The sequence below is a fragment of the Homo sapiens genome, chromosome 7 (assembly GCF_000001405.40).
Source record: "Homo sapiens chromosome 7, GRCh38.p14 Primary Assembly".
Classification (NCBI taxonomy): Eukaryota; Metazoa; Chordata; class Mammalia; order Primates; family Hominidae; genus Homo; species Homo sapiens.
The window spans coordinates 70,210,041-70,224,429 of NC_000007.14; the positions used below are offsets into that span (position 1 = coordinate 70,210,041).

At 39.2% G+C, this 14,389-nt stretch overlaps 1 protein-coding gene across 26 annotated transcripts in view, besides 1 other annotated feature; it reads left to right on the top strand.

Moving 5' to 3' along the window:
* The window catches only part of AUTS2 (activator of transcription and developmental regulator AUTS2), a 1,195,032-nt gene that overhangs the window by 611,566 nt on the left and 569,077 nt on the right, over positions 1-14,389 (top strand). The window lies entirely within an intron of this gene.
* Positions 90-849: an enhancer, noted in NCBI's record as "heart enhancer 21". NCBI's record gives its function as "activates a minimal c-fos promoter by transgenic reporter assays in zebrafish embryonic heart {active_cell/tissue: heart(embryonic)}" and the evidence as "EXISTENCE:transgenic organism evidence [ECO:0001131][PMID:20075146]".

The following is a 14,389-nucleotide window of genomic DNA, read 5'->3' on the forward strand; positions in this document are numbered from 1 at the left end:
ACAAATGACATTGGGGTATAGGAATTAAACCGTGTGCATTCTGTCTCTCACCCCAATTTTATAGTCATTTGCTGGGGACCTTTTCTCCCCAGGGTACTTGCATAGCTTTTGTCAAGAATAACCCTTCTCACTTCCCCACCTCCTTCTTCTACATGCAGATGCAGCACTTTTCTGGGTAAAGTTTTAGCAATGCCTTCCTTCTAAAATGAAAGCATTTTCTCCTCACGATTAGCATCTGTTTATAGAATAGTTCGTATTTTCGTAATTAGATCCTGCATAGAAATGCAAAGGCTGCTGTGTAAAAGGATAATGAATCTTTATTGCACAGTTGAAATCAGATTTGTGCAAAAGGCACTTTGAAAACAGTAATAAGCAGAGACATGTATTAAATCACCCAGATAAGGCACCCACTTTATATTTTCTATTTATAAATGGAAATTATGACTACCCAGTGGATTCCATATGACATTTCCTATTACCAGCAAAGGTTTTTAGCTTTGACCATAAAAGTTATCTAAATTCAAAAGCCTCTGTGGATTCATGGCTCTAAGAATACTTCTGGAAGGGGCCAAGACAGAGTGGAAAGGGTCCTTTGTCTTTTTCTTTTGTGTGTGTATGCACTCTGCAGAGGGGAAGGTTAGCAAGTGGTAGAAGAAAGAAGCCATTTGAAATAACCATGATAAGATCTAATCAGGAAACCCAGTGTCCATTACACACATGTGGTAACATTTTAAGACTCTTCTGGTTGGGCTCCTTGAGAACCAAGCTCGTGTTCTTATAAGCTCATCCTTATATTTTCCCATTGTATGCATCGTTGCATGGCAAACACAGGATTTATTCCCAAGCTAAACCTGTCTCTTGGGGTTTCTTATCTTTTACCTCCTTGGTGAGCCTCGGGAAGCTAGAGCATTGCTCTATGGAGAAAGGAGGGTGGCATTGGGAGGAAGGGTAGGAAAAACATTATTGGGAAGCAGAGAAAGTCAATGTCAAATGAACTGCCAAGGATGAATATTATGGCTGCTGGGAGCCTCGGAGAGTATCGTGTGTCTTATGTGTCTATTTCACAGTCGGTGCTTCATGTGAGATGGCAGTCTCGCCTGGACCGTGCTTAGTATCGATTTACTCTCAGGCATGCCAGACCATTTTAGCATTGCTGAAGGAAGGAAATCCTATGTATTTCCCCTTATAAACAGACATATCAAAAGTGTATCTTTTAAACCTTTTTCTTTCTGTCTTCTTACTGTTCTTTCTGTCTTACTGTAACTCCTCCTCCCTCCCTGATTTAAAAGAATTTTTTTTTTTTTTTTTAAAAGAAAAAAGACTTTCTGGCCGGGCGCGGTGGTTCACGCCTATAATCCCAGCACTTTGGGAGGCAGAAGCGGGCGGATCACGAGGTCAGGAGATTAAGACCATCCTGATTAACATGGTGAAACCCCGTCTCTACTAAAAATACAAAAAATTAGCCGGATGTGGTGGTGGGCGCCTGTAGTCCCAGCTACTCGGAAGGCTGAGGCAGGAGAATGGCGTCAACCTGGGAGGCGGAGGTTGCAGTGAGCCGAGATCGCGCCACTGCACTCCAGCCTGGGTGACAGAGCGAGACTCTGTCTCAAAGAAAAAAAAAGAAAAAAAGAAAAAAGACTTTCTTATTAAGAGAGCATTATACAGGCCAGGCGCGGTGGCTCATGCCTGTAATCTCAGCACTTTGGGAGGCCGAGGCAGGTGGATCACGAGGTCAGGAGATCGAGACCATCCTGGCTAACATGGTGAAATCCCGTCTCTACTAAAAATACAAAAAATTAGCGGGGCGTGATGGCGGGCGTCTGTAGTCCCAGCTACTCGGGCGGCTGAGGCAGGAGAATGGAGTGAGCCTGGGAGGCGGAGCTTGCAGCGAGCTGAGATCTCACCACTGCACTCCAGCCTGGGCAACAGAGCGAGACTCCGTCTCAAAGAGAGAGAGAGACAGCATTATACAGAGAACAAATTGAGTAGACTTTTTTAGAATGATAGAGTGTCAGTAACTACTCATACCTGTGGGGGAAAGAAAAAGGCTTCAAACTTTGCACACTTCTAGCCCTTCCATGAAAATAGAAGGACCTTATTTGAGGCTAGTTTTGTGGTGGTGGGATCTGAGCACTGCTGAGTGTTAACAAAAGGGAATAAATTGATGCCAAATTTAGAGACCAAAAATGCCATCATTTTCACCTGCCTGAACTCTTCTGTTGTTTTCCCTAGTTGCTGCCTTGCGCTTTTTCCGCAGTACAGGGAGAGAAATCAGTTGTCTGGCTGTCTAAACTCACGGCATCTGCTTAGCAGTTTCACCAGCTCATAGTTGGGACTCATCCCTCTGTCAGAATCCTTTGCTCCATTAGAAGGGAGACTGGGACCACGTTCCTGAATTGATTTGCATACTTCTACGTTACCTAGCTCAGACAACATATGGCCATGTGGAGCACTTGGATTTATTTCTGTTTCCTCAAATTAAATTCCTAAAAAATTGGATAACTCCACAGTTTGTTTGGTGTTACAAAAAATTTTAGTTCCTTTTTTGGTCGGCAAAGCAACACAATTTTGGCATTAAAAAAAAATCTCTGGATTACTTTAAAAAGAGTGTTGATTTGATTTGCTTCCCCTCTTCTCTTACCCCTTTCAGGAAAAAAAAAAATGTATGTTGAATCTTAAAACACTGCATCATGTTGCAAAATGTCCATTTAGGCACACTGAATAGAAAGTATCATCGAGTCATTTTTATTCTTGTAATTCAGTAATCTTGTATCTTTTGCCTTTTTCTTTTTCCTTAATGTTAATTGTGTAACTAAATGTCTCAAACTTGGGACTTTTCACTTTACACATCCATGTGTAAAAATACATAGATACATACAGTCAGATAGAAGAAATAAGACTCAGTGTTAATAGATCAGTGGTTGGGGTGGGGGAACTATACTTAACAATAGTATGTTGTACATTTCACAGTAGCCAAAAGAGAACAATTCAAATGTTCTTAACATAAAGAAAAGATAAATATATCAGGTGATAGGCATTCTAATTACTCTGATTTGATCTTCCCACATTATATAAATGTATCAAATTATCACGTACTCCCCATTAATAATACTGTATATCAACGAATTTTTTTAAAAAAAGAAATAGATATCATACAATGAATAACTGGATTAATGTGAAATGATAGAAAAAGTTACCATTTTAGGCTGGATGTGGTGACCCACGCCTGTAATACCAGTACTTTGTGAGTCTGAGGCAGTAGGATTGCTTGAGGCCAGGAGTTTGAGACCAGCCTGGTTAACGATACAAGACCCCCTTTCTAAAAAAAAAAAAAAAAAAGCCAAGTGCAGCAGCATATGCCTGTAGTCCCAACTACTGAGGGCATAGAGGTAGGAGGATCATGGATCACTGGATCACTTGAGGAGTTTGAAGTTGCAGGAAGCTATGATCCTATCACTGCACTCCAGCCGAGGTGACAGAGCAGCAAGACCCTGTCTCAAAAAAAAAAAAAAAAGTTACTATTTTAAATGCACTTCAACTTTGAACAGTACTAATGTATGAAAATCATCTTGTCTTCTTTAGGAAATTCTTTGTTGCCTAAATTAGGGATAGGTATCATACACTGGAATGAGCTCTAAAACGATGGCTCTTGCTATGGGAAACAGTTTTATTTGGGTACTCATGTCTTCTCTCTTAAGGGATCTTAGGAAGAGGCTACATGGTAAAGAAGAAATAGCATGGGCTTTAGAGTCAAGAGGCCTGAGTTTTAATTCTCAGGCTTTATTTGTCCTTCTGCAGTGGCCTTAGCAAATATTATAACCTCCCTAAAGTTAGAGTTATTGTAATTGTCGTACATACAATGTTATCATAAGAAAACAGTGAGATAACAGATATCAAAGTACCTGGGCAGTGTTTGACACTTGGTGGTCTATAAATATAAATATCATTTCATTCCTGAAGGTAACTGCAGCACTTTTGAAAGGCTGGTTTGATGCTAACACAGGAGGATTAGACCTAATTATATATTTCTAAGGTCTTAGAAATGGGGAGCTAGGTTTTTCAGACAATATACTGTATTTTGTTTTTCCTCCCTTTTGCTTTAAAACAGAAGGCAATTTGTTTCAAACTCTGTGCTCCAAACTGGTGGCTTAATTAGGCAAGTTTATTGACTGTCACAGAGGCTGTGGTTAAAAACTGGCAAATATCATGTGACTATATTAGTATCTCTGAGCAAATAAAGGGAAAAGACAGGATTCCACCCAACCACATTTTTTTCTTTCTCTTTTCTCCCAAGCTCATTCTTGCACTGCAACATTCCACTTATAATCTGTTAATTAAATCATTTCACTCCATTTTATATAATTTTTAATTTAGCATTCATTTTCAACTTAGCTTTTGGCTTCATTTACTGATAATAAACAGTGTTGCATACAACACATGTTCCACAAAACACTCAGTCACACACATACAGATGCCAATAATTTTTTCCAGTATGTCAGGCATATTAAAATTAAAGGCAGCATCTCCCCTCACCCTTTCCATTACTGAATGTGCACCCTGTTTGAATAATACATACTCCCCGACAGCCAGCAGTGGTCTAATGTGTAAAAATTATGTGTAGCGTGTCACTAGTACCTTTTTTTAAATTCGTGGTTTTCTCAGACATGCTCTGTGGAAGGTTTCTGGAATGGTCACTTCGATACCTTGGATCTGTATATTTGGCTTAATGTATACAAACAGTAATATTTTCTAGACTTATTACTTTATGGGTTTATAGCTATGTGATAGTTATTGAGAAAGAAAACTCTAGTGTAGCATTCAAATTACTTTTCTTGTAGCTTATTTTTTGAATCATAGTCTGAATTCTAAATATATGAATATCTTTAACCGTAGATGATATCCAGAAGTTTCCAAGACTGCAAGCTCAGGGGTTTATGGACCACTTTTAAAAGATAGATACTAAGCCAGGCACAGTGGCTCACGCCAGTAATGCCAGCACTTTGAGCAAGCAAGATGGACTGATCCCTTGAGGCCAGGAGTTCAAGACTAGCCTGGGCAACATACTGAGACCCCGTCTCTACAAAAAGTACAAAAATTAGCTAGGTGCGGTGACATCTTTTAGTCCTAGCTACTCAGGAGGCTGAGAGGAGAATCACTGGAGTCCAGGAGTTTGAGGCTGCAGTGAGGTATGATCATGCCACTGCAGTCCAGCCTGGGTAACAGAGTAAGACCCTTTCTCTAAAGAAAATAAAAATAAAACATAGATACCTGTGTTGTTGTTATAGCTGTTCATATCCTTAGAATTAATTTACCTTGTCTGCTCCTGCATATTATTTGTCTCCTCATAATTAGCAAAGTTCCACAGGGCCAGATATCACCAAATATGAATAGTAGATTTTATTCTAAGGTCAGTGAGAACTGAAGAATGTTAGGGGCTGACTCAATCAGATTTGTTTGTATTTATATTTGGAAAAATATTACTCTCCGGAGAATGTTTTGGAATGTTTGGCAGGGTGGTTGGAGAGACATACTACAGGAAAGAAATGATGGTAACTTAGTTGGCAGTGGGAAAAGTGAGTAGTGAATTACTCAGAGCTCTTTGGGGGTGAAATGGACTGGACTTATATCAGTTGAACTTGAGAAAAGGAGAAGCATCAAGGATGATGTAACTTTTAGGTTTCTGGCTTGAGCAGTTGTGTAGGTGGTAGTAATTTTTCATGGTGAAGATGATGAAATACTTTTTGTACCTGTCTCATGATTGCTTTCTGTACATCAAGGTCAGAGGTCATAAGCTCATAAAATGCTTGGTATTAGAATTCTTACATAAAGGATGTCTTCTGTTTTAGTTTAGTAATACAATTTGGCTTAAATCACAGACTTTCTCTAATCTTTGTTTTGATTGTCATCTGCCGAGAGCTTAAGACAGCAACTCACAGGTTGGCCCATTGAGAATCTGACAAATGAAAAATTATAAAAAAAATTCAGAATCCCTATATTGTAGCCCAACTTTCTTTAGCACTTCTATCCTTGAATGCTAGGGCAGTGTTGTATACTGTGAAGATCTTTGTAGATTTTTCTACTCTGTAACATTTTAATAGTTCCATTTTGGGGTATTACAGCTGTTCAGTCCTCCCCATACCTCAAATTATAGTTAGTCTCCTTCAAGTCCCAAATTTCCAGTGTACATATGTTTCATCTTATGTTTAATCTGGACAGAGTGTTGGAACGAAATATGGACCCTGAAAGGTGTATGACGGGCTTGAAGTCTCAGCCCTACTACTTGCTTAATGTTTGATTTGCTAATCCAAACAATTATAATCTGTTAATTAAATCATTTCACTCCATTTCATATAATTTTTAATTTAGCATTCATTTTCAACTTAGCAGATGCTCCTGGTGTCCCACCCATACCCCTCTTTCCCTTCCACTTTAGTTCACAATGGCCCTCCTTCCTCCCGCTAGGCCTTATATTCATTCATCTTCAGGGTTTGTCTAGTCAATGAATTCTGCTTTGCCTAAGGAGTAGGCAGGAAGTAGGTGAAATGAACTGCTACCTGAGCAACCCACAGTCAATGACTAATGAGAGTTGTTGTATAAATACACCAGCTTCCTTGCTTCTTAAGTGGGATAACTTTGAGGTATACATTCTACACTGGCTTCCGGAGTCCTCCCAGTGGCATTTGCTTCTAGTTGCCCATAGTGGTAGTTGGCTGAATAATTACATACCCTTTATTCCCTGTCTGCTGTCATGATCTTACTTTCCCAGTCTCCTGCTATTGTTTACCTCCTAAATAAACTTCTCATTGTCTGCTTCTGGGAGAACCCCAGACTAAGACAACCACTGCGAACATTGGTTTCCTCATCTTTATTTATTATTACTGTTTTTTGAGACAGAATCTTGCGCTGTCACCCAGGCTGGAGTGCAGTGGCACGATCTCAGCTCACTGTGACCTCCACCTCCCAGGTTCAAGCAATTTTCGTGTTTCTGTGGGACGTCTTACATAGGCGTATTTTTTTTTTCCGGCTACTACCACTATTTGGACTAATTATTCTGAAATTTTACTTGCCAAGTTTCAGCTTTTATTAGCAAGAAAAAATGTTATGTCCACAGTTTAGAATAAAATCACAGAGAAGAAAAGTTGGATGAGGATATTGGTTTGCAGTCTTCTGTCTGTGTTTCTGTCTTCTGAGCATTCACAGATGTTCCTATCCTTCTTTCCACTGGTGTTCACATAACCTGGGATCTTGTGTTGTATGCAGTCACTCTCAAGGTAGGAACTGGAAGATAAAGTATGTGGGTGACATGGACTACTTAGAAGGAAACTGAAGTTTACATGTTGAGCCCAATTAGAAGCAGCTGAAGAGAGGAGAGAAAAAATTAACTGAGAAGTTTAATAGGCACTTAGAGCATGGCGAATAAAGCTGAGTGGCACCCACTTTTCATTTCCTAGTTCATTCTAGTTGTGCTTTTTTAACTGCAAAGACTAAAAAACGAAAGCCTTTATTTCCCAGTCTGTCTTGCAGCTAGGATTCTGGGTGTGAATCAGGTATATTTGCTCAAGATTTGGAAGGTCGACATGAGGTAAAGGTTATTCATCTTCAGCTTTAGCTCTTTTTATCTGATTAGCCAGGGCAGGAGAAGTATGATTTTTCTGTGGTGATGTTTCAGTTTTCAACTCAGCTTCCTAGATGTTGAAAGGCAGTTATGATGCGATTTCCTGATCCCAGGTTGCAGCTTCGCTAGTGCATTTGTAGCTGGGCTGCTGCAACAATGGACTTCTGTTTATGGCAGAAGAAAGGCCATACTTTAACCTTGTCTAGTGATTTTTTGTAAGAGGTTGGTTCTCTGTATTAAATCACTTCCTACAGAAAATTTCTTAAGTGTTTTCTGGTTTTTGTTTGTTTGTTTGTTTGTTTTTACCAGAACCCTAACTGATATAGATGGTTGAAGCAAACTTTATGCTGTAAAGGTCCAGACCCAGATAAAAACGAGAGACAGGAAAGATGCAGCAAGATGGTCTGCAGGCCTGCCCATGCATACACTACTCCATGATCTGGTGTCTGCAAGAAAACAAAGCAACTGCTCATTAAGTAACAGGGCAGCTAATGCTTTAGCTCTTGAGGCCCTGTGTCATATAACTTCTAATTCCTCTAATTCATCCACCAAGGGGGCAGTGAGGCAGTTCTCTGTTTGAATGCTACATCGTTTCTGACTTAGTGCTTTGAAGTGGATGACATCTTACTTTTTTTTCTTATCTTAGAGATAAGGTGAACAGAGGAAAAGGAGAATGATTTGCCCAACCTTTGGCTAAAGGAGAAAGGAAAGATTTAGAGTCCAGTGCTTCTGACTTCCCTCTGATGCGGTAACAAGGATAATATGAGTATCTAATATGCTGGGGCACAGTAAGATGGCTCTGAAGGTATGCACAGTAGAGAAAGCCATGGTCCTTGCCCTCAGGGTCTGTGATCGGCCACTGAGGCACACATTTCCACTTCCTGTGTTCCATTAATTATGCTAATTTTCCAACAAGCCCCAGCCCCACCTCTGTCAATTATTTTTGTCTCAGCCTTCTAATTACAACATTATATGACCATTCAGACTGGTACTAATTAAATCATTACTTAATTCACAAAGTGTGCGATAATGCTAATGCTTCTTGTCAGCTGAAATTACAACATGGCACCTACTTTCTTCATTCTTGGTAGATGGGGCCAGGGGGTTGCTCTTTTACCAAACATCTTTTGCTTACCCTCTGATAGCCACCTGACCATCAGCCAGAACCTACCTTCTTCCAGAACTGGGAAAACAGTGCAGTAGACCTAGCGATATGTACCTGTAATTCATCACTATCATATGAAATCATCATCCCAGTTTTGTTTGTGGAGTAAATCTTGATACTCAAGAAAAAAAAATAGTAGTAAGATTTAGAGTACTATTTGCTACATTTTTTGTCATTTGTTCTGCGTATTATTTTTAACAGAGTAAACAGTAGCTTGTCTCTTTTTCTCATTTCTAAAACAGATTTGTTTTCCACTCAATTAGACTTGTGATCACGAGAACACAAAGTAGTATTTTTCTCCTTCTGGAGAGAGACATACCGTATGATGGGCAAATTGTCAGGAATAATTATACCAAATGATGGAATAAAATCCAATGGAAAACATCTCTCTCATTGCTAGTGATACATTTTTATTTAAGACACAATGAGCATCAAGCACATTTATGACAAGGTGAAATTGACAAGTGGCCCTCTGCCATGATTTTATTTTTAATTGCTAGTAAACTAATTAGCCAGAACAACATGTTGTATAATCCACAAAACTGTCGCTCATGCGTTCTCCAATAAAAGCAAGATATATGATGTGGAAAAGTTCTCTAAGAGCTAGCCAAAAAAAAAATTATTTCAGAATTTTGAGTGTATAGACATCACAGTAAAAGATGTCTCCTCACCAGTGGAAGAACATTTGTATATAACATTTGTTTTGAGATCTGAACAGAAATTAAGGACAAACAGTAAATTTTTTTCTTTTCCTTTTTTTTTTTTTTTTGAGAGAGAGTCTCGCTCTGTTGCCTAGGCTGGAGTGCAGTGGCATGATCTTGGCTCACTGCAGCCTCTGCCTCCCGGGTTCAAGCGATTCTCCTACCGCAGCCTCTCAAATAGCTGGGATTACAGGTGCTTACCACCATACCCAGCTAATTTTTGTATTTTTAGTAGAGACAGGGTTTCACCACATTGGTCAGGCTGATCTCGAACTCCTGACCTCTTGATCCACCCGCCTCGGCCTCCCAAAGTGCTGGGATTACAGGTGTGAGCCACTGTACCCAGCCTGTTTTTTCCCTTTTTAAGATCAAAGTATGCATCAAAATAGCCAACCACTTTCTTACATGTAATTAAGTTTTATGTAGTTGAGTCACATTAAGTCTAAGACATACATTCTAGGACTAAGACTTTACAGTCATTCAGTAGTTACTTATTTGTGCAAGGCTTGGCAACCTTTTCCTTTAAAGGGACAGATAATACATATTTTTGTCTTTGTGGGCTGTTCAGTCTTTGCCACAACCACTCAGCTCTGATGTAGAGCAGCCGCAGTCATAGATAACGCAAAAATAAATGTGGCAGTGTTCCAATAAAACTTTATTTATGGACACAAAAATTTGATTTTATGTAATTTTTATTTGTCACAAAAGATAATTCTTTGATTTTTTTCAATCATTTAAAAATATAAAAGCCATTCTTAGCTCATGGGTTATACAAAAGGCAGGGGTGTGGATTTGGCCTACAGGCTGTAGTTGCCAACCTTTCCTCTGTACCTGCTGCATGCCAGCGTCACTCCTCATTCTTTAGTATCAGACGTGTGTTAGGCAGGGTGCTAAGCATCGAGGGATATTCAGAGATAGAGCAAAGTCCCTTCCCTGATGAAGCTTACAGTTAAGCTAGAAAGGAACCATAGATGGGACAGAGACACATAATATTAGATGTTAAATGGTGTCCCTCTGTGACAAAAGCCACCATTGCTTTACAAGTTTAAGAGAGAGGGAAGTCACTTCAGCTGATTTAGGTGATCTGCTAAGTAAGACATGACCTGGCTAGCTACGGATGCATGGAAATGATGGGATATCAGCTGGATCCTGAAGAAAAAGGCTGTGGACCTTTGAAAAGGTAACAGGGCATAATGCCTCCTTTTAGAGGAAGGGGGAACTGAGGATGGCGAAAATGTCAACCATGAGTCACTTATTCCTATCATTTTTCCCCCAATTCTTTCTTTCATGTCTTCTCATGAAAATTTCAAACATATAGCAGTTTTAAAGAATGTTACAGTTAATACCCAAATACTCACCATATAGATTCTACCATTACTATTTTGCTATACTGTTTTATTGTATATCTATCCTATCCTCTTTTGTTTTAGAATTCTGGTCTCGCTCTGTCACCCAGGCTGGAGTGCAGTGGTCACTACAGCCTGCAACTGCTGGGCTCTGCCTCCTGAGTGGCCAGGACCCTATGTGTGTTTCACCACCATGTTTGGCTAATTGTAAATAATGTTTTGTAGAGATGAAGTCTCACTATGTTGCCCAGAGTGGTCTCAAACTCCTGGGCTCAAGCTGTCCCCCTGTCTCAGCCTCCTGCATTGTTGGGATTACAGGCATGAGCCACCACACCTGGCTGCTTTATTATATATCTGTCCTTCTGTCTATTCATTAATCCATTTTATTTTTGGTTTATTTTAAATTAAATTTCAGACATCAAGATACATTTTCATAAATATTTAAGCATGCATATCATTAACTAAAATTTAATGTTGGCTTATAGTTTTTCTTCTTTTGGTGTAAAATTTATATACAATTAATCGTACCAACATTAAATGTACATTCTCTGAGATTTGGAAAGGCTGATCCTTTTGTAGCCTAAATTGGAAGATACATAAAGTTTTCATCACCTCAGGAAGTTCCTTCTGTCAGTCCTTGCCCCCAGCCTACCCCTGGAGGAACCACTACTCTAATTTTCTCTGCTTTAGGTTAGTTTGCCTGTTCTAGAATTTCAGAGAAATGGAATCATACAGAACCTATCATTCGGTGACTCACGCCTGTATTCCCAGTACTTTGGGAGGCTGAGGTGGGCAGATCACCTGAGGTCAGGAGTTTGAGGCCAGCTTGGCCAACATGGCGAAACCTCGCCTCTACTAAAAATATAAAAATTAGCCGAGCGTGGTGGTGGGCATCTGTAATCCCAGCTACTCGGGAGGCTGAGGCCGGAGAATTACTTGAACCTGGGAGGCAGGGATTGCAGTGAGCCGAAATCATGCCATTGCACTCCAGCCTAGGTGACAAGAGCAGAACTGTGTCTCAAAAAAATAATAATAAATAAAGAATCTATCATTTGGGTTTGGCTTTTTATCATCATATATTTTGTCTTTACTTGCTTAGTATCTAGCAAGAATATAAATGCAATTATTTTGCCAGAGAAAAGTATATGTTTGATTAAGGAAAACATAAAATACAACTTTGTTTAAATATCTGTATGTATATTCTTAAATTATTGTAAAATTAAATTACCTATGGATTAAATTTTTCACATTAACATTACTTAGTCTATTATGCTCCAGCATTTTACATATTTATGTTATTTAATTAAAATCTTTGCAGTAGATATTTCCCATTTTGAAGAAGAGGAAACTAAGACAGCGAATAAAATAATAAACAATATTATTTCTTACCTCTTACTGTTGCCACTTCAGTGTCAGGGAGGAAGAGGGATAGCAAATGTAGGAAGGGTGTTTGCAAGGTGAGTGAAGGTGAAGCTGCTTTGTTACAAGTTTTCTTATCAAGAAATGGATAGAACATAGGAGTAGAGAAGTTCAATAGGAACATGCAAAATTTGTCTATTGTAAAAGAAGGAAGAAAACTGGAGAATTTAAGGACTATTTTTTAACATCTATGATTAAAATATTATGAAACAATATCTTTTTAAAAAGTGATATTTTTCCTCTAGTATAACACAAGTTGTTAGAAACTAAGGAATCACCCTATCTTCTTTAGTAAAAGCCTACAACTGGTAGAGTTTTTTTTTTTTTAAGGATCTCAAGATACTTCATGAACCTCAAAAGACTTTAAGTTCTCTGCAATGTTAGGAAATGACTTCATGAATATCACAGTTCAAGGTTCTGCTACTGCTTTTAGAAGCCCCCAAAGTGTGAAGACATCTAGTACAGTATACAGTAAGAGGAGAACTGGCTTTTATTGCTCACAATAGGAATGTTCCCATCTATCTGTTTGCAAACCAACTCATAAAATATTTGAATATTCTTCACTCTGCTTTATGATAATATTTCTTGGCTTGGAAATTTGCTTTTTTTTTTTTTTTTTGAGACAAAGTCTCGCCCTGTCACCCAGGCTGGAGTGCAATGGCGTGATCTCAGCTCACTGCAACCTCTGCCTCTTGGGTTCAGGCGGTTCTCCTGCCTCAGTCTCCTGAGTAGCTGGGATTACAGGTGCCCGCCACCACACCCGGCTAATTTTTTGTATTTTTAGTAGAGACGGGGTTTCACCATGTTGGCCAGGCTGGTCTTGAATTCCTAACCTTGTGATCCTCCTGCCTTGGCCTCCCAAAGTGCTGTGATTACAGGTGTGAGCCACTGCGCCTGGCTGAAATTTGCATTTTCATTAATAGATCATCCTTATTTAACAATGAACTTCCTATGTGTTTGTGACACATGGAAAATAAGTAGGCAGCATTTAATGTCATTTGGGAAGCAGTGCTTATAGTAGTTCGGTTTACATTCCTCATACAGCCATGTGCCGTATAGTGATGTTTCCATCAATGACTGCATATGCAACAGAGTCCCACGAGATTATAATGGAGCTGAAAAATTCCTATTGCCTCATGACATCATAGCCTGGTAAGGTTATAGTGCAACAAATTACTCTCACTTCTGTGCTGATGCTGGTGTAAACAAACCTACTGCGCTGCCAGTTGTATAAAAGTACAGCATATACAGTTATATACGGTATATAATACTTGATAGTAAAAGACTATGTTACTGGTTTATGTATTTACTATACTGTAATTTTACACTTATTTTAGTGTAGTCCTTCTACTAGTTAAAAAGAAAAAAGTTAACTTTAGAACATCTCAGGCAGGTTCTTCAGGAAGTATTTCAGAAGAGGCATTGTTATCATAGGGGATGGTAGCTCCATGCATGTTATTGCCCCTGAAGACCTTGCAGTGTGACAAGATGTGCAGCTGGAAGACAGTGTTATTGATGATCCTGTTCCTGTGTAGTCCTCGGCTAGTGTGCATGTTTGTATCTTTGTTTTTTTTTTTTTTTGGTTGGTTTGTTTCTTAGAAGGGGTCTTGCTATTTTGCCCAGGCTAGTCTTGAACTCCTGGGCTCAGTGGTCCTCTTACCTCAGCCTCCCAAGTATCTGGGATTACCCACATGCACCACTGCACCTGTCTGTGTCATAGTTTTTAACAAAAACATTTATAAAGTAGGCCATGTGCAGTGGCTCACGCCTGTAATCCCAACATTTTAAGAGGCTGAGGCAGGTGGATCACTTGAGCCCAGGAGTTCAAGATCAGCCTGTGCAATGTGGTGAAATCTTGTCTCTACAAAAAATACAAAAATTAAGTGGGCATGATGGTGTGTGCCTGTAGACTCAGCTACTCTGGAAGCTGAGGTGTGAGGATCACTTGAGCTCAGGAAGTAGAGGCTGCAGTGAACTGAGATAGTGCCACTGCTATCCAGAGTGAAGCCCTGTCTCAAAGTATAATACAATACAATACAGTACAGTACAATACAATACAATACAATACAATACAATACAATACAATACAATACAATACAATACAATACAATACAATATAATACCATACAATACAATTTAATAA